The following is a 26,693-nucleotide window of genomic DNA, read 5'->3' as shown; positions in this document are numbered from 1 at the left end:
ATCTGAGTTTCAAATAAAAGTGTTTTCAAAAATATGTCCCTGTTGATATGCAGCATACTTTCGATTAAAAATATAGAAGGGGGATCAGATAAAGATAAAGAAGTCTTAAGAAAATCAATGTAGGCCATTTTGTTATTAAAAAAATATGTACAGTAGAGCCAAATTGTGCTCCATTACTACCCTGATAATATAACCTAGAAACAAATATGGCCATCACTCTAATTAAAGAAGAAAAAATTACTGACATACCAAGACCTTCAATTCTGTTACCAGTTGTTAATTAAGGCCTTCATTCCTTGGTTCTTCCTTGTGCTCTTTCTCTTTCTCTCTCTCTTTAACTGATGCTGGTCACTCTTAACTTATAGTAAAGCTATACTAAGTTCCAAAGGAGTACTCATCTCAAATTATGAAACTCAAACAAAATAGATATAATTAGGTGTAAGCTTGCAAAAGGACGTATAATTAATCTGAGCAGAGCTTAGTTTTCTGCTTCCTCAAGCCACATAAAGTACTCACCATGACTTTTACAAACAAGACCTCAAAGAGCCAAAAAGTACTAACTAAATTGCAGTTTTGTTTGAAACTCAAAAAAAGCATTTCTTAGAAGTTCTAATTCCAGTGTGGCAAAGAGCACCATAAACAACTAAGTATCCAGTTTATCTTTTGAAACAAGACGCATATTGGTATTCAGTTAACTCAACTCTGATACTCCAAACTATTTTGAAAAGTTTTCATTCTCTCAGTTTATCGCTTCCTTTGTGCTCTAGGCAATATATTCTTCACTGATGGAAGACAGAGGCATAACAGTGACAGTTAACAGTTAGAATGGCAATAAAACAATCTTATTGGAGTTCAGTATCCTGTCTAATGATATTTAGAGTACGTGATCTTGAATTACTCATCTGGCACTCTGATAGATGTCAAGAAAACCATGCACATTTCACCTGAAATGTTCTCCCATCAATATACTGTCTAAAAGAATGAACACATAGCAAAAGAGAGCAGCAGCAGCAGCAAAGAATGAGATCCTACTGTACCTGGTGAATGTGGCGGAGGAGAGCACATCAGAACGACACCCTGGCCTTCCCTCACAGAGACTGCACTTCTTGTCCGGCCACTAAAATTTCCCAGATCTGTCAACATAATAAAACATTTAGATCCAAGGCAGAAAAGAATGTAAAGAATTGCTATGATTGTAACTTGTACTTACTTTCTATCGTTATCTTCACAAGGTGTCTTTTGTTTGTTAATCAGTGACAAGAAGGCTTTAACATATATCTACATCATCTAATTTTAAATACCACAATGGAAATAAATCTATACCACCCATAGAAAAACCACACTCTTTATTTTTATTTACAGTCCATTCAAGTTGCCAGTATAGATGCTAGGGAGTATAGCATTTTTAACACAAAGAGTCATTTTTTATAATATTTCCTACGTAGTGATATTTCTACTACCAATAACGCCCATTCTCTCATAGTGAAAAGAGAAACAGAACTGGTTAGAGGACTTGGTGTCCCACCGGCTTCTTCATTATATGTCAGGCTAAGAATGATGTGTAAAACCAAGCATGAGCATGCCAAATTAGAGAGGCTTGTATGCTCTAACAAAATATAGTAAAAATAGAAAAAGCATTCTTTTTCTATAAATGTGAATAAGAAAGTTATGTGACTTTCATTTTATGAAAGCCTAGAATGGGCTCTGTGAATTAACTACTCTCATCCATTTTGATTAGTCTGGGAGTATTAGTTAACGAAATATTCACTTCTATGTAAAAGGGATTATAGTATTGGAGATCAATGGCCTTCCCTTAAACTATGTTGCATTTACACAATTTGAAAAGATTTTCCTAAAAAGAAAATGGTCCAAAAGGGAATGATGTGTAATTTAAATTGTAATTCTATTATTGCTTATTAAACTATTTATATCTCAGTACTTACGCTCCTTTCCTTTTTCCTGGGATAGGTTGATCAATAAGACAACTTTTAGACTACTTTATTGCAAATGGTAGGAGTTCAATATTTTTATAAATAAACTGTCCCAGAATTCTGGGTCTGTAAATCATGTTTCCATGATAAGAAATGCTTCTTAGAAATGTTCTGCCATTTCTTCCATTAGGCACAAATTGTAAAATAGATTTTTAAAATATATTTTAATTATTTCATGCTAAAATAATATGCTTTGTAGCAATACAAGGTAGAGCTTCAAATTTAATATTAATTTGACAAATAAACTGAACACTCAAGAAAATACACTAGTGGATATGAAGGAGATAAATTACTAGTCTATAACAATCTAAGAAAAATTCTATACATTATATTTTTGAGATGGGTAAGAATTTACTAATTATTTTGCTGAATGTATAACCAAATCTTCTTAAACACATCCAAAATCATGGGGGTCTAATAAGTAGTGAAGACATGACACCAAATAAAGAAACAGAGAAGTATTCATTATTGCAGAATGTGTTTAAGATTTTATACAAAATTCAATGTTTCTTTATAAACAGTTAAGCTTTTCATAAAGTAGCAGGACAAAAGAAAAAGAGCAATTCTAGTTCTACTTTTCTGGGGGATTGTTACTTTAAAAATATATACACTAACTTCAGTAGCAGTAAAAATCAAGGCAGTCATTTTCAAATATATGTACCTACAAGGTTACTGCTCTGATTTCTATTACCAAATATTATGCTTGTCTCTTTTTGAATTTCATATGTATGAGATAATACAACATACACATGATTGTCTGTAACAAACAAACAAATATATGCAAATCATGGCTTTAAACTCAAAAGGACTGATTCTTAGAGGCTTTTTTTTCCAAAAAATGATCTTAATATGAAATCAAAGCATGGCAAGATTTCTAATTTGACTTCCTTTTACTTTACTCCTAGAAATACAATACAAGATAGTTAGGCAGTGGTTGTGGCAGGACTTTAATGTATATTTTGAGAGCCTCCTCCCTCTGTTGCCCAGGCTGGAGTGCAGGATGTGATCATAACTCACTGCAGTCTGTAAATCCTGGGGTCAAGAAATCCTCCAGTCTCAGCCTCCCGAGTAGCTGGGACTACAGATACATGCCAATATACTCAGCTAATTTTTCAAATTCTTCGTAGAGACAGAGTCTCGCTATGTTGCCAACACTGGTCTCAAGCAATCCTCTGGCCTCTGTTTCCCAAAGTACTGGGATTATAGGGGAAAGCCACCATGCTTGATTTTAATATCTCTAGGGATTATGTGGTTTCACTTTCCTCTTTTCATCTTCATCGAATCTACAAATTCTGGAAGGTCATTGGGATATCAATTTATTTTAACTGAATTTTTAAAATGGTCTCTAAAACATAAATATCCATTTCAATCCATTTACTACAAGTTTATATTATGCTTATTTTTGTGACATTTCAAATCAACCTATTGTATTTACAAGATTAATAGAAAACAGTCCTAAATTAATGCCTATTTCTGAGGAATTGAAGTACAGGCATGCCCTAGAAATTAAACACACAAAGAAAAGAAAATTATAGAATAACTATGACCTAAATTGTGTTTTGAGATCCCAATGACCCAAAAGATGATACTTCACTCCAATTGCTTTATTTTGTACCAGCTTTTAATACAAGCAAAATTCAACATTTCCTCATAGAATTGTCTCTGTGTCATTATTTCCTGGGAACTTTAGCACCAGAAGCCCAAAGATAAATAGATTTTTTTATATTGTGAGTAGATTTTTTTTTTCTTTCTTGAAGACATATAAATACTAAAAAGAAGTCTGTACTTTCATGGGGTATGTACATTTCTCACTTAACTCTTTCCTACCATAAAGAAAAGTGAAACATTATTATCTACAATGTAAAAGTGGTCCCTGTACCAAGCAAGATGATGGTTGATCTAAGGCAGAATGGTTTATGTAAAAAAATTCTTGGTTGATGGGGATGGTGGTTAGACTGAATAGCCTGAGTGAAAATTTAACTGTTTGTTCATCTCTCACTAAGAAGAGAAAGGAGTTAATTTCTTTGGAGGTATTTAATCAGAGAACTTTGAAATACTTCGGTGGATGTATGTGCAGGTTCAGTGTCTATCATGTTATTTTAATAGATGACACGTTACATGTACCAAGAAGATAAATGGAAAAAAGACCAAGTGCTTTTATAGATATTGGCTTGAATTGTTTTATTGCAATTACACAAGGTCAAAAATACATGTTCGTGTGTTCTATTTTATACCTTTACAGGAATAAAAGGGAGTAAAAATAAAAATCACAATACGAAGACTCTAAAATTCAGGTTCAAATTACACACTGAAATAAATATCTTTCTGGACTTACTATAAGGCACATTTACAAATACTCAACTTAAGAAACAAGATGAGAAATTTTGTGATCAAAAGTCACAGGGCCCTAGACTTTGTCTTTGCTCTGACCTTTCTTTTTCTGAGTTAAGAAGCTCACACAGGGTTTAAAAGAAGAGCTGTAACTAGAACTGTAGCTTGGAGAATTACTGCACCTATTCATCCTAGAAGAACTACGAAAAAAAAAAAAAACTATGAAAAACATACAATAATAGATGTTATTAAGAGCTTTAGATGATGGAGTGTAGACTTGGGATATGAGATTTGAGCCATATTGATCAGATGTAAAATGAACCATTTTATGAATTTATTTAACAAATATTTATTCAATGCATACTATATATTAAAAACTGTGTTAGGTACTGGTTATGCAGAAAAACTGTAAAGGATATACATATATAAATGAATTAATCATACCTACTTGGGCCAACTTTTCATAGCTCACAGGAGTCTGGGTCACCAAATAGGTATATAAGCCCAAATCCTCAAAGCTCAGCTTGTCACAGCCACACTCATGAGTGACCAAAAACATACCATGAACATTTACCATGTAGCACTTCACACTATTTCTCTAAATGGGAGCTATTAATACATGAACACACATACACACAGACTTTAGATTTTTCCTTTATTTCCTTCCTTTTTTCTTCCCTTTCCCTCCCTTCCTTCCTCTTCCTCTTCCTTTTTGCCTTGTCTTCCTTCCTTCTTGACATTCTTCAGTTACTCTTTTCATCCCTGTATTGTTCCACAAAGTATTTGAGGTAGCTTAAAATATGTATCTGCCTCAATAATAATAAGTAAACAAATAAAACAATAGTTGAGGAATTCTAGGTGAAGACAAAATAAGCATGGTGAGAAGGCTGCAGGGCAAAACAAGTATTTAGGAATATACACTATATATTGTTGTAAATTATTGGAAGTTGGCTACAAATTTGACTCTAAACTTAAGAGGAGCCAAAACAAGGTAGAGATATACCCAATCCTAAGGGGATTTCTCCTGAAAGACTTCATAGACTTCATAAAGATAACACGTGGTAATAGAGTTGGCAGAGAAACTTGGCAAACTACTCAGAAAGTTATTTTTCTTTTTTTTTTTTTTAACCTCCTGAGACATGTTGAGTAGGTAGAATGTGAGCTATATGTACCCACACACAAACACCTGAAAAATATTTCAAAAATTATTCCCTAAAAAGCATTATTTTAAAGTGTTGGAGGGAAATAGAGTACCTGAAACTATCAAAAGAGATAGTACATAAGAGATTCTGGACACTGATCTTGTATCTTACGTATGTTAAATATAATAGCTTGGTTTAGTTATTGGGGAGGAGTGAGGAAAAGGCTCAAGACAGGAGAATAAAAGCTATACAATTAGAAGTAAAACGCTGTGGTTGATTTGTCTCCTGGACTTATGTTTCCCAGTCTTAAGTCTGTTCTGAATAAGTGGCAATGTTGAGCTTATAGGAGGTGTGTTTGGAAAAAGGAAGAGGAATGGAGTGCCAATACTGAGGTATTCGTGGCTATACATTTATCCTGTAGGTGGCCCTAATGAGTTTTAGACTATCAGTGCTCCAAGGATTCTCAATTAATTCTCTAAAAGTGCTGTGAACACAGATACGATTTAATGCAAATTTTAAAATTTTTTATAAAATTGAGATTTTGACTTTTTACAAAAAGACCATTGAAAAGGCAAATTATATTAGACTAAGTGTCAGAGACAAATTTTATAAAGTTTCATTAATTACATTTGAGTGTCATATATATTATATGAAAGATTAAGGAACTGAGCTGGCTTCTCAACATGAGAGGCCTTCAACTTTAATTTCTATGACTTCTGTAAAAACAACGGACAAGTTTTGTAATACTGACTTGGTATTTGCTGCCTCACTTGCAAAGTGATTGCATATTGAAGTCTTCCATTGGCTGTATTCATTGTTCCTGTTACTATCATCAGGATTATTCAGGTCACTGTAAATTTTTTTGCATTCCATGCAAATACCCTATAATAAAAATTAGTCAAACTTCATTCACAAACTATTTTTGACCTTCTAAATGTTTAGAAAAGAGAAAAGAGAGAAAAGGAAATGAATGAAAATAGTTACACTAGCTACTAACATACCTACTCTATGCCAGGCTTCCTGGAAGTAGATACTAATTCCTGTTTTTCTATGTGAAAAGCAAGTAAAAAATTCACTGCAGTCATATATTTAATAGAGTTGGCAAATCAAAGTCAATGTGATTGATTCTAAAGTTTTAAAAACTATACCAGGACAAAAGCAATTCAATGTTTGGAAGTTAAACCACACTAATTTTAGGAATTTTAAAATAATCTTCAATAAGGACATCTTATTAAAGACCAGTTTCTGAGGAAGAATAGAAAAAGCAGTTCTTACACATGTTTTGAGAAAAAAATTAAATTAGCATTCTCTAATACATAGTCATTTGTCTGCACAGAATGGCTACCATAACACACTCTAGAGCAAATAAGATTCTTAATAATAGTTCTTAAAATAAAAATGTGAGTGTTGAATGGTACCTTGACAGAAAAGCCATAGAAAAATGAAGGTTTTTGGTATTTTATTGGCAAATGTAAACTTGTGGGTCTGTGATCAACTTGTAAACAGATATGGGAGGGCTTATTATGTCCATTTATGATTAGGACACTGACATTCACTAAAATTAGGTAACAAGAATAAGAACTCACAGCAGAAAAGATTTGAGTTTTCAAAGTGACTAATTCAGCTTTGAAATTAGCATTTAAAAATCTAGAGCTATTATGATACTCTTGGTTTACAATGTTTTTAATCAATAAAATTATTTGATTAAATACTTTCCTATTACACCACATGATATAATGCTACAATTCTTTTTTTATTATTATTATACTTTAAGTTTTAGGGTACATGTGCACAACGTGCAGGTTTGTTACATATGTATACATGTGCCATGTTGGTGTGCTGCACCCAGTAACTCGTCATTTAATATTAGGTATATCTCCTAATGCTATCCCTCCCCTCTCCCCCCACCCCACAACAGGCCCCGGTGTGTGATGTTCCCCTTCCTGTGTCCATGTGTTCTCATTGTTCAATTCCCACCTATGAGTGAGAACATGCGATGTTTCGTTTTTTGTCCTTGTGATAGTTTGCTGAGAATGATGGCTTCCAGCTTCATCCATGTCCTTACAAAGGACATGAACTCATACTTTTTATGGCTGCATAGTATTCCATGGTTTATATGTGCCACATTTTCTTAATCCAGTCTATCATTGTTGGACATTTGGCTTGGTTCCAAGTCTTTGCTATTGTGAATAGTGCCTCAATAAACATAACGTGTGTATATGTCTTTAGAGCAGCATGTTTTATAATCCTTTGGGTATATACCCAGTAATGGGATGGTTGAGTCAAATGGTATTTCTACTTCTAGATCCCTGAGGAATCGCCACACTGACTTCCACAATGGTTGAAGTGGTTTACAGTCCCACCAACAGTGTAAAAGTGTTCCTATTTCTCCACATCCTCTCCAGCACCTGTTGTTTCCTGATTTTTTAATGATCACCATTCTAACTGGTGTGAGATGGTATCTCATTGTGGTTTTGATTTGATAATGCTATAATTCTTTTAAATATTTGTTATCAGTCACCTATGAATGGGACAACATATCACCTTTAGGAAATGTTAACTTTTAATAAAAACTGTCTCTCCAAAATATCAGTTGAGCTAATTATAGGTATCTCAAAAAATATACTAACATCCATTATATGAAGATAAGAATTGAATTAAGATTCAGCTGGAGAAAGAGGAAGGAAAATCTGTAAAGATAATGACAAATTGTAATGAAACTTTCATTAGCCCCGTTTTTTCTCTGGTTATATATAACAGGTCAGATGAGTAATCTCTTGCTATGGCTTGCCATTTTCACTTTACATATTATCAGACATTAATCAGTCCTCCAAAGGGATTATAAAAAAGAAACCAAAGAAAACCAGCATATGCTTCCCTTGAAAAAGACACTTTTAATTACATCATAAGTGAAACAGTAAATTGCAAATGCTTTTGTGAAATGATAAACTGTCCACAGAATGTGATAAAAATATTTTTGATCTTAGGTCTTTTCTCCTGTATTTCATGTGTTACAAAAAGCTACTTCAACACTGAATAATACAAATGATAACTAATCTACAATGAAAAAGTTGTATATCAGTGTGTTTAATGTGAATATAGTCTATGAACTCTGGCAGAGGTTTTATACATTTGATAAAATTTCTAACATCTACATAAACAATTATATAATAATCCTAATTTGTTTACTTCTAAGTTCATTTTTTTCCAAATTCAGATCAGTCTTAATTGACTAAAAATCTTAGGAAATTTTAAAGCTAAGCATTAAAAAGAAAAATGTGAAAGGATAAATACAACATACACAGAGAGTTTGAGTACTACAAATCCATTATGATGAGAAAAGGATGTCATAGTAAAACCAGAAAATCGTTTAGTATAGCAATTCTTATAACTTGCAGATGTATTAAATTGTCTCTCAAGCTTTCACGCTTAACTACCCTCTTCAGTTATTTCATAATATTTCCTTATATAATTACTTTCTTGCCTACTACTATGACTCCTTACCCCTTTCTCCCTTCATTTTATTCCCCTGGCACAACTTCAGCCTTTGTTAAATTGGACTATCTGCCTATTCTGCTCTTACACTGCAAGTGTAAAAAAACAAAAACACTTGTATAGCCAGATTTAGCCTGAAGCAAGATAGTTTTTCACACTGGGACTACATCTCTAGATGCTAAAAACTTCATGATTTTAACTCACAGCCTATGACTGTCAGTTCAGAACAATTTTCAACGTGTAATTTTATATTACCTATAATTTCGAACTTAGTTCAATGGGTAGGTTCACATTTATGAAAGAATTTTCCTAATACCCATTATTACAATGAATAGCAAGTAAAATATGTTATATTTTGATAATTGATTTGATACTCTAAGAGCAAAACAATGTTATCAGTATAAAAATTCATCCCACTTATTTACAACTTTACAACTTTCTGTAATTTTAGCATGATTTATCTCAGAAACCTAACATAGAAAAAAGTTGCTGAAATGAATATTCTTCCATTACAGTTGAGAAAATGTGTCATATATATCTATTAAATTATACATTAGAAGACTTTATATTCACATCATAATTAATTACATTTTAAAGCCTTTTATAGTGTTTGACATATAATAAAAGATATATTTTTAAATAAAGTAAAAATATTTTTAATAATATATGTATACAGCCCCAATCTTTGTATTACAAGACGTAACAATAAAGGGGATTATTCTAAGATTCCAGGATACACTTTTTGGAAAATAATAGGCAACTGGACAACATAGTTTTGTTCCTTATTTGAAGAATATAGAAAAGACTATAATGTAAAAATACCCACCCCAACCTCCTGACGGTGCTCTGCAGTTTGAAGAGCTGTAGCATAAGTAGCACTATACCTAAATGCCTACTCTTCTATATTGTATGAATTCAAGGATACTCTGCCTAATGTTAAAAATCAAATTTATTTCTATCAATATCACTAAATGCCCACAGGAGAAAGCTGGAAAGATCTAAAGTTGACACTCTAACATCACAATTAAAAGAACTAGAGAAGCAAAAGCAAACAAATTCAAAAGCTAGCAGAAGACAAGAAATAACTAACATCAGAACAGAACTGAAGGAGATACAGACACAAAAAACCCTTCAAAAACCTCAATGAATCTAGGAGCTGTTTTTTTGAAAAGATTAACAAAATAGACCACTAGCCAGATTAATAAAGAAGAAAAGAGAGAAGAATCAAATAGACACAATAAAAAATGGCAAAGTGGATATCACCACTGATCCCACAGAAATACAAACTACCATCAGAGAATACTATAAACACCTCTATGCAAATAAACTAGAAAATCTGGACATATACACCCTTCCAAGACTAAAGAAGAAAGAAGTCAAACCTCTGAATAGACCAGTAACAAACTCTGAAATTGAGGCAGTAATTAATAGCCTACCAACCAAAAAAAAGCCCAGGATCAGATGGATTCACAGCCGAATTCTACCAGTGGTACAAAGAGGAGCTGGTACCATTCCTTCTGAAACTATTCCAAAAAGTAGAAAAGAGGGACTCCTCTCTAACTCATTTTATGAGGGCAGCATCATCCTGATACCAAAACCTGGTAGAGACACAACAAAAAAAGAAATTTCAGCCCAATATTCCTAATGAACATCAATGTGGAAATCCTCAATAAAACATTGGCAAACCAAATCCAGCAGCACATCAAAAAGCTTATCCACCACCAGCTTATCAGATCAGCTTCATCCCTGGTATTCAAGGCTGGTTCAACATATGCAAATCAATAAACATAATCCATCACATAAACAGAACTAGTGACAAAAACCACATGATTACCTCAATAGATGCAAAAACGACCTTCAACAAAATTCAACACCCCACCCCTTCATGCTAAAAACTCTCAATAAGCTAGGTACTGATGGAACTTATCTCAAAATAATAAGAGCTATTTATGAAAAACCCACAGCCAGTATCATACTGAATGGGCAAAAGGTGGAAGCATTCCCTTTGAAAACCGGCACAAGACAAGGATGCCCTCTCTCACCACTCCTATTCAACATGATATTGGAAGTTCTAGAGAGGGCAATCAGGCATGAGGAAGAAATAAAGAGCATTCGAATAGGCAGAGAGGAAGTCAAATTGTCTCTGTTTGCAGGAGACACGACTGTATATATAGCAAACCCTATCGTCTCAGCCCAAAATCTCCTTAATAAGCAACTTCAGCAAACTCTCAGGATACAAAATCAATGTGCAAAAATCACAAGCATTCCTATACACCAATAACAGACAAACAGAGAGCCAAATGATGAGTGAACTTCCATTCACGATTGCTACAAAGAGAATAAAATACCTAGGAACATATCTCACAAGGGATGTGAAGGACCGTTTCAAGGAAAACTGCAAACTACTGCTCAAGGAAATAACAGAGGACACAAACAAATGGAAAAGGCGTCCATGCTCATGGATAGGAAGAATCAATATCATGAAAATGGCCATAGTGCCCAAAGTAATGTGTAGATTCAATGATATCCCCATCAAGATACCATTAACTTTCTTCACACATTTAGAAAAAATTACTTTAAATTTCATATGGAACCAAAAAAGAGCCCGTACAGCAAAGACAATCCTAAGAAAAAAGAACAAAGCTGGAGGCATCATGCTACCCTACTTTAAACTATACTACAAGGCTACAGTAACCAAAACAGCATGGTACTGGTACCAAAACGGATATATAGACCAGTGGAACACAACAGAGGCCTCAATTATAATGCCACACATCTACAACCATCTGGTCTTTGAGAAACCTGACAAAAACAAGCCATGGGGAAAGAATTTTCTATTTAATAAACGCTATTTGCAAAACTGGCTAGCCATATGCAGAAAACTGAAACTGGACCCCTTCCTTACACCTTATACAAAAATTAACTCAAGTTGGATTAAAGACTTAAACGTAAGACCTAAAACCACAAAAACCCTTGAAGAAAACCTAGGCAATACCATTCGGGACATAGGCATGGGCAAAGACTTCATGACTAAAACACCAAAAGCAATGACAACAAAAGCCAAAATTGACAAATGAGATCTAATTAAACTAAAGAGCTTCTGCACAGCAAAAGAAACTATCATCAGACTGAACAGACAACCTACAGAAAGGGATATTTTTGCAATCTATCTGTCTGATAAAGGGCCAACATCAAGAATCTACAAAGAACTTAAACTAATTTACAAGAAAAGAACAGACAAACCCATCAAAAAGTGGGTGAAGGATATGCACAGACACTTTGCAAAAGAAGACATTTATGCAGCCGACAAACATATGAAGAAAATCTCATCATTGCTGGTCATTAGAGAAACGCAAATCAAAACCACAAAGAGATACCATCTCATGCCATTTAGAATGGCAATCACTAAAAGGTCAGGAAACAACAGGTGCTACAGAGGATGTGGAGAAATTGGAATGCTTTTACACTGTTGGTGGGAGTGTAAATTAGTTCAACCATTGTGGAAGACAGTGTGGCAATTCCTGAGGGATCTAGAACCAGAAATACCATTTGACCCAGCAATCGCATTACTGGGTATATACCAAAAGGATTATATATCATTCTACTATAAAGACACATGTACATGTATGTTTACTGCAGCACTATTCACAGTAGCAAAGACTTGGAACTAGCTCAAATGCCCATCAATGATAGACTGGATACAGAAAATGTGGCACATATACCCCATGGAATACTATGCAGCCGTAAAAAAGGATGAGTTCATGTCCTTTGCAGGGACATGGATGAAGCTGGAAACCATCACTCTCAGCAAACTAACACAGGAACAGAAAACCAAACACCACAGGTTCTCACTCGTAAGTGGAAGTTGAACAATGAGAACACACGGACACGGGGAGGGGAACATCACACACTGGGACCTGTCCGGGCTTGGGGAGGGGGGTTGGGTGCTAGGGGAGCGATAGCATTAGGAGAAATACCTAATGTAGATGATGAGTTGATGGGTGCAGGAAACCACCATAGCAAGTGTATACCTATGTTACAAACCTGCACATTCTGTACATGTATTCAAGAACTTAACGTATAATAAAAAGCATATATAAGATACAAAATTATCTATATATGATGATAGAACTATATACAATATTTGCAAGCAATAAAAGAAAACAAAAATATCATTAAAAAGAGTTCCCCTTTCTCTACATCCTCACCAGCATCTGTTATATTTGCCTTTTTTATAACAGCCATTCTAACTGGGATGACATGATGTCTCATTGTGGTCTGATTTGAATTTCCCTGATGATTATGATGTTGAATACTTTTATCTGGTGCCCATTTGCATGTCTTGTTTTGATAGGTATCTATTCAGCTCATTTGCCCATTTGTAAATCAGATTATTTGTTTTTCTGCTATTGAGTTATTTCAGTTCCTTGGATATTCTGGATATTAATCCTTTGTCAGATGAATAGTTTGAAAATATTCTCTCTAAAAAAATTATATTTAGAGTTTCTTGGAAACTACCATAGTTTTAAAGCTAACGGTGTTCCTCTGACCAAGGGTGATGGCAGTTATTATCTACTAGAAATTTCCCTCTGCTATGTTTCTTTCAACTCCTCAGGCAATTTTTGCCTCCACTAGACTCTACTTAGAACAGCCCCTCTAGATGACACAGTTATTTCTTTTCCACATATCCAATGAGAAAAACATAATTAACTGGTGAGTAGATTTTTAAGACAGTTTGACTGTGAGTATAACATTATGCTTTTCAACCTGATAACTGCATTTTCATAAAGAAATAGTTTTTTTTTCCCTTTGCAAATCCAATCCAGTCCCAAACTGCATAAGAATTCCTGTAAAGGACTGTTTTGAATTTTTAGTTTGGTTATGGTATAACCATGATTATACTATGGTTACGGTTTTGGTTATGGTTATACCATAACCAAAGTAAAAATCTAAACAGCCCTTTACAGGAATTCTTATGCTGTTCGCATATGTGTGCTTGAGTGTTTTGCTCTGCCAAATTTGTTTTCAACTTCATTCGTGTATTGCAGAGCACTCACAATAGTCCTGGCCTCCTGATCAAGTACCTGAAGAAGTAAATTGCTTGCTTTCTTGATTCCCTTAGCTCATTTGCTGTTGTATAGTTTAATCAAGTAACATAGATTTGCATTTTTTCTCTTATAAGCTATAAACTCAACAGTTCTATCTGAATAATTTATACCATGTTTAATTTAAAAAATCGTTGGAAGCTGTTTCATTTCATAACTCAGTTGACTAGTGATCAATTTTCAACTTATCTTACATCTTGGCTAAAAACTTCATGCCTTGCCTTAAAGCAAATCTGCTCCCCGTCCTTGGCCCAATTCTTTCTTTCCTATCTTTTAATTATTTCAGAAAGTTTTAATTTGTGATCTTCATTTAGGCTCAACTAGTATGTAAAATAATCTTTGGGTAATACTCAAGTTTAAGGAAGGATTCAGTTTATTGTCTGCACATTTAAAAGGGTATTTAAAATCATTTATTTTTAACAGGTTACTTTTGTGTGGAATTTTTCATTAATTATATAAATTAATTCTTGAGAGAATGAATCTCATTTTTACATGAAGCATCAGCCCAATGTACTAGTAGTCTTTTGATTTTTGCTTCTGTTTTGTTGTTGCTCTAGCTCTTTTGCACTGAAGTGTAAGAAAACAGTTCCAGAAACTGTGTAGGACTAATATGTCTATTTACTAGTGATACATTTTTTTCTGTAAATCAACTATGGCATAAGCATTACTCACATTACTGAAGGGCATCCCAAATAGTCTAGTTCAAGGTTAGGCAGATGTTTTCTAGAAAGGGTCACTTAGTAAATACTTGAAGCTTTGCAAGGCAAAAGGCAAAATTGAGGGTATAATGTAGGTACTGTTATATGATTTTAACATGTGATGAAGTGTTATTCTTTCGGATTTTTCAAACATTTAAAAATGTTAAAAAAAAAAAAAAAAACTCCTTAGCTTGCGGGCTGTACAAAAACAGAGGAGTAGATCCACGCTCTGGTTCACTAAAATTAGCAGGAGTAGAAAAGGTTACTAATCTTCTACTATTAGAAAGTCAATGACTTTTCCGTATTGCCAGTTCATGTCATTGTGGTGGGAGGTCAAGTTATTTACACATCTGCAATGTATAAAAGCTTGACCTCTAGAATCAGAAAGACATGGATTTGAATTACATCTCTTCCACTTATTAACCATGTAACCTTAGATAAACCTCAATTTCCTTACTTGTGTAACAGGAATAACAATACCTACCTCAAAATGATTGTCAGGGGATAACGCTTGCATTTTATCCAAAAACAGACCTTAACTTACACTGAACCCTTAATAAATGACAGCCATTATTAAATAACATAAAAAGGTAGCATATGTATCCTTGTATCCAGCATCTAGCACCATGTATACCAAATAACAGTTCAGTTTTCTTTTTTAATTCACAGCTTTTTCCTTTATTAAACTAATATTAATTGCATGCATATGTGCCAAGCACCATATTAGGTACTTAATAGATATTCCTGAATGAATAAATCTCAGTGGTGAGCTGAATTTAGATTTAGAAAAAAATAAACCATTCTATGCTCATGAATAGAAAATGTATGACCAGGTCAGGCATGGTGGCTCGTGCCTGTAATCACAGCACTTTGGGAGGCCAAAGTGGGCAGGTCACTTGAGGTCAGGAGTTCGAGACTAGCCTGGTCACCATGGTGAAACCCACCTCTATTAAAAATACACAAAAAATTAGCAGGGCATGGTGGTGCACACCTGTAATCCTAGCTACTTGAGAGACTGAGGTGGGAGAACCATTTGAACCCAGTAGGCAGAGGTGGCAGTGAGCCAAGATCGTGCCGCTGCACTCCAGCCTGACCAACAAAGTGAGACTCCATTTCAAGAAAAAAAAAATAGAAAATGTATGACCAAAAGAAGTTCTCAGAAAATCTTACCAGTTTATAGTTCTAATGTCATCTCACCCAAAACATTTAAAAAGTATTGACAATGGAGACAAGATGGTGATGATGATAGCTACCATTTACTGAATACTCACTACCTGCCACACACTATACAATGAATATTTATATATGTGTGTTTTAATTCATTTCTTATTAAAATATCCTTTTAGTTAGACACTTTTGTGAGAAACTGAAGCTCAGAGAAGCTATGTACCTTGCCCAATGTTACACAATTAGTAAATAATAGAGGCAAAATTCCAAGTAGGATGTCTGATGCCAGAGCCGACATTCTGAATCACTGTAGAGATCTTTTGACCATAAAGATATAGTAACATATAAAGCTTTAGAGACATGTATGAGGCTAGCTGGGAAACAGAGTGATGAAAAAAAGGGAGTATTAAGATGTAAATAAATTATTTGAAACTCCAAAACAACTAGCTAACAACACTATGTCAGGAACAAAACATCATGTATCAATATCAATCTTGAATGTAAATAACCTAAATACCCCACTTAAAACATATAGTGGCAAATTGGATAAATAAATAAGATCTAATCATTTGACCTCTTCAAGATACCCACATTGCATGTAATGACATCCATAGGTTCAAAGTAAAGGGTTGTAGAAATATCTATTACATAAATTGAAAACAAAAAAGATCATGTTAAACAACAACATCAAGTCAGAAATAAAAAAAAAATTAATGAATGAAAGTAGAAATGTAACATACAAAAACCTCTGGGATACAGCAAAGGCAATGGTAAGAGGAATGTTTATAGCATTAAAGTTTATAGCATTAAATCTTCAACAAAATACTATCAAACTGAATCCAGAAATACATCAAAAAGATAATCCACCATGATCAAATGTGTTTTTTTTCCAGAGATGCAAGGATGGCTCAATATACATAAATCAGTAAACACAAAAAATATAAGATTTTTAATTAGAAACCTAGTGGTGCATCTCAAAGAACTAGAAAAACAAGAACAAATGAAAGGTAGCAGAAAAAAGTAACAAATATTACAGCAGAACTAAATGAGGTTGAGGCCAAAAAAAAAAAGATAAAAAGAATTAATGAAGTAAAAGTTTGGTTCTTTGAAAGGATAAAGAAAATTCATAGAACGCTAGTTGGGCTAAGAAAAAAAAAGAGAGAAGACTCAAATAAGTAGAATCAGAAATGATCAAGATGACATCACAACCGATACAGAGACTAGTATGATGACCTTTATGAACGCAAGCTAGAACACCTAGAGGAAATGGATAAAGTCCTGTAAACATACAAACTTCCAGGATTGAACTAGGAAGAAATAGAAACCCTGAATAGACCAACAATGAGTAATGAAATTGAATCAGTAATAAGAAAAAATCTCCTAACAAAAAGAAAGCCTAGTACCACATGAATTCAAAGCCAAATTTTACCAGATGTACAAAGAAAAGCCGGTACCAACCTTACTAAAACTATTCCAAAAAATCAAGGAGAAGGAATGTCTTCCTAACTCACTCTACAAATCCTGTATCACCATGATACCAAAATCAGGGAAGGACAAAATGACAATAAAAAAGGAATTATAGGTCAATATTTCTGATTAACATCAATGCAAAACTCCTCAACAAAACACTAGCAAACTGAATCCAACAATACATCATAAAGATAATTTGCCATGATCAAATGTGCTTCGCTCAAGGGATGCAAGGATGGCTCAATATACATAAATCAATAAACATGATCCACCACATAAACAGATATAAGAATGAAAACTATATGATCATCTCAATAGATGCAAAAAACAGTACTGGATAAAATCCAACATCTCTTCATAATAAATACCCTCAACAAACTAGCATAGATGGAACATACTTCAAAATAATAAGAGCCATGCATGACAAACTACAGGCAACATCAGATTGAACAGGGAAAAGTTGAAACCATTTTCACTAAGAACTGGGAAAAGACAAGGATGGCTACTTTAACTAATTCTATTCAATATAATACTGGAAGTCCCAAACAGAGCTATCACGTAAGAGAAAGAAATAAAAGGCATCCAAATTGGGAAAAAGGATGTCAAATTATCTCTGTTCACTGAAGATATGATTGTTTACCTAGAAAACCCTAAAGACTCTTCTAGAAGATTCCTAGACCTGATTAGTGACTTCAGTAAAGTCTCAGGATACAAAAATCAACATACAAAAGTCAGTAGCACTTCCATACGCTAATAATGTTCAAGCTGAGAACCAAATTAAGATCTCAACAGCTTAGTTTCATTAATTCTATCTAACTTGAAACAAATATTATACTTAATAGAGAAACATTAGAGGCATTTCCACTAAAGAAGCAACTTTACGTTGATCTTGAAATTCTAAGTAATTCAGTAGAATAGGTGAAATGAGAAAAATACAGGATATAAAATTGTTTAAAAGAGATATAAATTTAACATTACTTGGGAATGTTATGTTTCTATATCTGCTAAACTCAGAGAATCATTAGAATAAAGATAAAAAGTAGTAAGATTTCATAAAGCAGAAATTGTAAAATGAAAAAAAAATCACGGTAGTCACCACACAATGAAAATACATAATTTCTAGGAATATTCTTTAAATAACAAAATGAATGAAAACAATTAGTGTTCTTCAAAAGGCAAATTCATTGTTTCTCACTGCTGTATCATCAGTGCCTGTGTCTAGAATATAATAGGCATTTAATTTATATTTGTTGAAAGAAGCAGTGATTGAGTGAATGAATAAGTGAGCTTATTGAAGCAGGAACTATGCTATTTATCTTACGTCTTCAGGTTTTCTAGTTTGTGTACATCAAGGTGATCATACTAGTCTCTGATGATCTTTTTTTGTTTTTCTGGTATCAGTTGTGATGTCACCTTAATCATTTCCAATTGTACTTATTTGAATCTTCTCTCTTTTTTTTCCTTAGGCTAGCTAGCATTCTATCAATTTCCTTTATCCTTTCAAAGAACCAACCTTTTATTTCATTGATCCTTTGTATCATTTTTTGGCCTCAAACTCATTTAGTTCTGCTCTAGTATTTTTTCTTCTGCTACATTTAGGTTTGATTTGTTCTTGTTTTTCTTATTCTTTGAGATGCAGCATTACATTTCCAGCTGAAGATTTTTCTATTTTTTATGTAGGCATTTAATGCTATAAAATTTCCTCTTAGCAATGCCTTCACTGTATTCAGGAGGTTTTGTATGTTATGTTGCTATTTTCATTAAACTTTTTATTTTGATTTCTGACTTGATGCTGTTGTTCAACCTGCTTTTTCTTGTTTTCAATTTGTGTGACAGATATTTCTCCAACCATTTACTTTGAGCCTATGGATGTCATTACATGTGAGATAGGTCTCCTGAAGACAGCAGATCATTAGATCTTATTTATTTATCCAATTTGCCACTACATGTTTTAAGTGGGGTATGTAGGTCATTTAGATTCAAGATTAATATTGATATGTAAGTTTTTATTCCTGACATAGTGTTGTTAGCTAGTTGTTTTGGAGTTTTAATTACGCAGTTGCTTTATAGGGTCTGTGAGTTCTGTATATATCTGTCATTTTCTGATGCCAAGTATCATCCTTTAGTTTCCACATTTAGAATTCCTTTGAGCATTTCTTGTAGGACTGGTCTAGTGGTGACAAATTGTCTCAGTAATTGCTTGTCTGGGAAAGAGTATTTCTCCTTCATTTATGAAGCTTAGTTTGTAGTAATATAAAATTCTTAGCTGACATTTTTTTTTTAAAGGAGGCTAAAAATACAACACCAACCTCTTTTGGCTTGTAAGGTCTCTGCTGAGAAGTCCACTGTTAGTCTGATTGGTTTTCCTTTGTAGATGATTTGAACCTTTTCTCTAGCCGCCTTTAACATTTTTTCTTTAGCACCAACCTTGGATAGTCTAGTAACCAAATGCCTCAGTAATGTTTATCTTGTATATTATCTCATAGGTGTTCTCTGGTTTCCTCATATCCGAATATCTACCTCTAGCAATATTTTTTAATTATTTATCCTCTCAAATGTTTTCCAGGTTGTTTACTTTTTCTTTTTCTCTCTTAGGAATTCCAATAACTTGTAGGTTTAGTTACATTACATAATCTCTTATTTCTCAAAGGTTTTGTTTTTTAAATTTTTTTCTTTATTTGCAACTGACTGGGCTAGTTCAAAAGAACAGTTTTTACGCATTGAAGTTCTTTCTTCCACTTGGTCTAGTCTAGTTCAGATGCTCGCTATGATGGGGAGGGATGGGCTGGTACCCGGGTCACTGGCAGAACTTTCAGGTCAGGGCAGGCAGAATGCTTAGGTGGTGGGATCCCAAGGGAATATCAGAGGCCTGTGGGGTTTATGTTTTTAACAGGGCTCTGGGTCAAAGCTTAAATATTCAGGCTGGGGCAGGGCAGCTGTGACGTGGGCCCTTCATTGGAAGAGCAGGAACCCTCAGCTGGGACAGTGGCAGCTGACAGCTATGGGGCATGTTGTGTGCTTGAACCTCCCTCCCACACAAGGAGTTCTAAATTTCATTGTTTGAAGCATGCAAAGGTGAGAAGCCTTCTTGCTCCTGAACTGGCCTGGGGGTGGTAGGGGCAGAATCAATGGAAGCAACAATTGTGAATATTTGTTGCTGGCCTCAGGAAACTGGGCTCTTAGAGGAATAACCCATGATTGTAGGGATCAGGCAGGGGTGGAAAGGCTGCATTGGAGATTGGAAGTCAGTGAGTTCTGTTTGGCAGGGAACAACAGAGGTGGGAAGTTGTGGGGTACATCACGTGCCTGCTACTCCTCTGTATCTCAGCTATGGAGTCCCATGCTGGAGGTACATGAAAGTGACCCATCTCTTCAGTCTCTCTCAATCTGGGAGCAGCATGTGCAGAGACAGCAGCAGCTGTGATCACAGAGGGCCTATCAGCTACTTCTGGAAGGTATGTACTCAGAACACAGAGCCATGACCGCAGTGATCAGCCAGGGGATGAGTAAGTGTGTTATGGGCCGAAAGGCAGCAAGCCCTGTTTGGCAGAGAGCAGTGAAGGCAGGGACTTGTGGGGCACAAGCCTACCACTATTCCTCCATATGTCAGCTATGACATCCATACTGGAGGTCCACAAATGTGCCCCACCTCCTTGTTCCCTCCCTGGCTTGGGGACAGGAGGAGTGAAGGCAGCAGTGATAGTGAAGGGCCTGTTAGCTACCTCTGGGAGTTATGCACTCAGAGAAACAGAGCCATGACTGCAGTGTTCAGGAAATTCAGGGAGGCTGTGCTGGGGACCCAAGCCAGTGAGTCCCACCTACTAAGGAGCTGCAGAGGCAAGGACTTACGCAGTATGGAGTCTAGCTGCTTCTTAGTACTATGGATGCGCCATCTATTCTAGGGACACGGAAAAATGCTGTGTCTCCTTTCTCAGTGGGGCAGTGGCTGCTGGAACCGGGCTGCTAGAAAACCAAAAGCTTGTGGGGTTGGTTCCATGTGGGCTTGAGCAGTGCCTCTGCACAGACTCCACATAGCTCTCTGCTGTTCTGGAAGCCCGAGGGAGTCAAGAGCTGAACTACAAAAGTCCATGGCAGAAGTGTGATCCCCAGGGGAGACTCTTACTCACTCACTCTTCCCCCACTCACTTTCCCAACTTAGGGAGCTTTCCTCGGCTCCATACCAGTTCTGGGTGGGTTAATGTTCAGCTTCATGGCTTCATTCCTCTCTGCTCTATGTGGGTCCTGTCACTTCCCTGGTGAATCACAAAGTGATCTCTTAGATAATCCACTTGAAGTGTTAGTATTCACTTGTTATTTTGTTTCCTTTCCATGAGAAAGGCATGGCACTATCTGGGTCTAGCCAGCCATCTTGAACTGAAACCTCTTAACTGTCTCTTGAGGAGATATCTCTTCATTTGACATTTGCCACCAGATAGGGTATGAGAAGTTTTCATTTCACTTACTGTACAGATCAAGTCTTCTTCTATGGTAACTAACTATAGGGAATGTCAATATTGACTAGCCCTTTTCAAATTCCCAGGTCTAGCAGACATTTATCTAGGACAGCTCTGCTGGACTAAGGTGAGACATTGTCCCCTCTTGGATGCCTAGTACTGACACTGAACTGATGGGGAGCAGCAAAAATCACAATTCTATTATCTGATGCTACCAAGGTTCTTAATATCCTTATGCCCTACCTTTAGCACTTTATCCACTGGGGTTATATAATTCAAATGCGATGTGCCTTTTCTAGGCCTACCTGATTTCTGCCTTATATATTTATAGGAAGTGCTAACTACAAATTATTGTAAATGCTTGGGGCATGTCAAGAAAAATACTCTGGTGACTTTGGGCAGTAGCACTGATGGTGATGGTATGCCATGAGGAAGGACAATATGTCTTCCTATGTTTTTTCAGTAAGCAGAGCTAATCTTCTTCATAAGGTAAAATTTAGATGTTTCTAAATCCAAAACCACGTAACTTACATTTTATATAAATCCTCTCCAATTTGACTTTGGATTTCAAAATTATCATAGCTAGCACTTGTTTTTCTGCATAATCATTGATATTTTATTAGTAAGGTGAAAAAACTTTCCAAGGAACAGCTAACCAAAAGTCATTTCCCTATTTTTGTCTGTTTATAAATATTTAGTTCTCAAAATTTATTGATCTAACTGCTGTGAATTCATGGTTTTTTTGTTTGTTTGTTTTGCTTGGTTTTGTTTTTTTTGTTTTTGTTTTTGTTTTTTGTTTTTTGGTTTTTTTTTTTTTTGCTGCTGGTACCTGTCATAATATACTGGGAATTTTTTTTTTTCAGTTGTAGTTAGATTTTTGCAGGTGGTAAACAAAAATAGCTTGTGAAAAAAAAACCTATAAAATTTGAAACTCTCCAGTTGTTTATTTAGGTTTTGGTTATCCAGAACTATTCACATCACATTTAGGACTCTGGTGTCTTTATAAGCCTTTACATTTAACAGAGATTAATAGTATTGAACTTAAACCTTGCTTCTTAGAAAGTGAGGACGAGAAAGATCATTTGCATCATAAACAAGGAACAGTCTGTGGACAAATGAAGCACCAGGTTGAAATGTGAACTATGCCACCATGAGCAATATATTTGGCTCCAGAAAAACCTATATACCACCTACTAGGTGGGAACGGGAGATGGTAAGTACAGCAGTCACTATAGCAACAGCAGGAAGAGATAATTTTATTTTCATCTTGCTTAATAAAAGAATGCCACCAGCTGGCATTAAGGATACCAGTAGCTCCCTTTTGGAAAAAAAAAACCCTGGCAAGGCAGTGGCAACAGCTGCACAAACATCAGAAAACAAAGAGAAATGCTATCTCTCACTCTCTCTCTTGATCCTTAGCCCCAAATGATTAAACTATGCAAAGCCAGATAATTTTTTAAAAACTATATATTATTTGCTCTAGCCAAATATATGACAAAATATATAAATATGCTTATGTTAATATATACACACATATATAGATAGATAAAGACAATGTGATGTTGGTTAGCTTAATGTGAAGGAATGGATAGAATGGTGCTAATTTTATTATCAGAACATATGTTACCATATTATCATTGAATTGGAGACAATCAAATTCAACCTAAATAGAAATCAAAAAGGATCTGATTTTTTTTCTTTGCCCACAACTCACTACATCCTTCCTGCAGTATCCTTGCCATGAACACAGAGGCATCAGCTTGTGAGAGACTGCAGTGCTTTAGGTATTATTGTGCTTTCTGTGTCTGAAATCCTGTCTGCCATTTAGTGGGTGCTCAACAAACATTTGTCTAATAAATTAATACATTATTGAATTACTATCTGAACGCAAACTTTTTTTTCTAAAGTTTCTTAAGGTTTAGCAAGAGAGCAGATAACAAATTTAAAAATCTTTCATGATGTGGTAGTCCAAGTTGTCCACCTATTATTTGCTCAAAATAATAATCAGATTTATTTAAATGATAGTAATGACAAATAAGAACATGTGCTTTTTTAGGGTGTTATAAGAGTGTCTTGATACATAGTTGGGGAAGAAAATGACACTGATATTCTTTGTTCATATTGGAGATGCCACTGTAAAATTTAAAAGTGGACCTTTTTGATGTAAAGGCATTTTCATGTTCTGGAATTTTCCTACTAAATGAAAAATTCCTGTGGAGTGGTTAATTTTTATATTTCAGTGTTGATCTCAGTCCTCAATCTTTCCTGGAAACATTTGCTGAGACTCCCAGCTGAAAAGATTCTATTCTTCCTCCAAATAGAGCACTTAATGCTCATGCAATATATTTAGGAGTTATATTGCTTCATTTCATGCTCATGGATAGGAAGAATCAATATCGTGAAAATGGCCATACTGCCCAAACTTATTTATAGATTCAATGCTGTCCCCATCAGGCTACCATTGACTTTCTTCACAGAATTAGAAAAAACTACTTTAAACTTCATATGGAACCAAAAAAGAGCCCACATAGCCAAGGCAATCCTAAGCAAAAAGAACAAAGCTGGAGGCCTCAAGGCTACCTGACTTTAAACTATACTACAAGGCTACAGTAACAAAAACAGCATGGTACTGGTACCAACACAGATATATAGACCAATGGAACGGAACAGAGGCCTCAGAAACAACACTGCACATCTAAAACCATTTGATCTTTGACAAACCTGACAAAAACAAGCAATGGGGAAAGGATTCCCTATTTTAAAAAATGTGTTGGGAAAACTGGCTAGCCATATGCAGAAAACTGAAACTGGACCCCTTCCTTACACCTTATACAAAAATTAACTCACGATGGATTAAAGACTTAAATGTAAGACCTAAAACCATAAAAATCCTTCAAGAAAACCTAGGTGATACCATTCAGGACATAGGTATGGGCAAAGACTTCATGACTAAAACACCAAAAGCAATGGCAACAAAAGCCAAAATTGACAAACGGGATCTAATTAAACTAAAGAGCTTCTGCAGAGCAAAAGAAACTGTCATTAGAGTGAACAGGCAACCTACAGAATGAAAGAAAATTTTTGCAATCTATCCTTCTGACAAAGGGCTAATATCCAGAATTTACAAAGAACTTAACAAATTTACGAGAAAAAAAGCAAACAACCCCATCAAAAAGTGGGCGAAGGATATGAACAGATACTTGTCAAGAGAAGATATTTATGTGGCCAACAAACATACGAAGAAAAGCTCATCATTACATTAGAGAAATGCAAATCAAAACCACTATTAGATACCATCTCAGGCCAGTTAGAATGACGATCATTAAAAAGTCAGGAAACGACAGATGCTGGAGAGGATGTGGAGAGATAGAAATGCTTTTACACTGTTGTTGGGAGTGTAAATTAGTTCAACCATTGTGGAAGACAGTGTGGTGATTCCTCAAGGATCTAGAACTAGAAATACCACTTGACCCAGCAATCCCATTACTGGGTATATACCCAGAGGATTATAAATCATTGTACTAAAAAGACATATGCACATGTATGTTTATTGCAGCACTATTCACAATAGCAAAGACTTCGAACCAACCCAAATGCCCATCAATGATAGACTGGATTAAGAAAATGTGGCACATAAACACCAAGGAATACCACGCAGCCATAAAAAAGGATGAGTTCATGTCCTTTGCAGGGACATGAATGAAGCTGGAAACCATCATTCTCAGCAAACTAACACAAGAACAGAAAACCAAACACTGCCTGTTCTCACTCATAAGTGGGAGTTGAGCAATGAGAACACATGGACACAGAGAGGGGAACATTACATACCTGGGCCTGTTGGGGGGTGGGGGCCTAGGGGAGGCATAGCATTAGGAGAAATACCTAATGTAGATGATGGGTTGATGGGTGCAGCAAACCACCATGGCACGTGTATACCTATGTAACAAATCTGCACGTTCTGAACTAGTGCCCCAGAACTTAAAATATAATAATAATAATAAAAAGATATTGGGACATCAAAAAATAATAAAAAATAAACTTTTCATTTTAGAATGGTTTGAGACTGTAAGAGAAATTGAGAAGCTAGTAAAGAAAGTCCCCATATACCCACATCCAGATTCCCTTATCTTACATAAATATGGCAGACTTGTCACAATAATCAACCAATTTTATATATTGTTATTAACTAAAGTATACAATTTATTCAGATTTCCTAAGTTTTGACCTAATGTATTTTTTCTGGTCTGTTCAAATCCCATCCAGAAGACCATATTACATTGTTGTCATGTCTTTTTCAGCTTCTCTTGGTTGTGACAGTTTCTCATACTTCCCTTTTATTTGCAGTTTTGGTCAGTTATTTTGCAAAATGTCCCTCAATTGGCAATGGTCTGATTTTTTTCCCCCATTATCTTACTGGGGATATTGGTTTGAGAGAGAAAGATCACAGAGGTAAAGTGCCATTTCAAACACAGCTTATCCAGGATTCATATTATCACCATGACATGTTGATGTTGATTTTTATCCCTTAGTCGAGATTGTGTTTGCCAGGCTTCCCCTCTATAAAATTATTCCTTTTCCCTTTTTCCGTGCTGATTCTTTGGAAGGAAATCTCTAAGTACATGCCACACTTAAGCAGTGGGTGGTTTGGTTTTTGTCTCCATGAGGGCGGAGTATCTTCAAAAATTATTTGGAACTCTGAATGGGAAATTTGTCTATTCTCTCCTTTTAGTAATTCTTTCAATCATATATGTATATATACACACACACATGTCTATTTCAATCATATATGTATGTATACATACATGTATGTTTCAGTCATATATGTATATAGACTTACATT

General features: G+C 35.1%; 1 protein-coding gene across 12 annotated transcripts in view; it reads right to left on the bottom strand.

The window, feature by feature from the left end:
* CNTN5 (contactin 5) overlaps nucleotides 1-26,693 on the bottom strand; it is a 1,337,937-nt gene that overhangs the window by 441,699 nt on the left and 869,545 nt on the right. For all 12 annotated transcript variants that reach the window (XM_017017926.2, NM_014361.4, XM_011542871.2 and 9 more), the window contains one exon: nucleotides 1,038-1,133. In XM_017017926.2, coding sequence (XP_016873415.1) covers nucleotides 1,038-1,133 — 96 coding nt within the window. The remainder of the gene's footprint in view (nucleotides 1-1,037; nucleotides 1,134-26,693) is intronic.

Source organism: Homo sapiens, chromosome 11, assembly GCF_000001405.40.
Source record: "Homo sapiens chromosome 11, GRCh38.p14 Primary Assembly".
Classification (NCBI taxonomy): domain Eukaryota; kingdom Metazoa; phylum Chordata; class Mammalia; order Primates; family Hominidae; genus Homo; species Homo sapiens.
The sequence above is the reverse complement of the archived record's forward strand: the minus strand, read 5'-3'. Positions and strand labels throughout refer to the sequence as shown.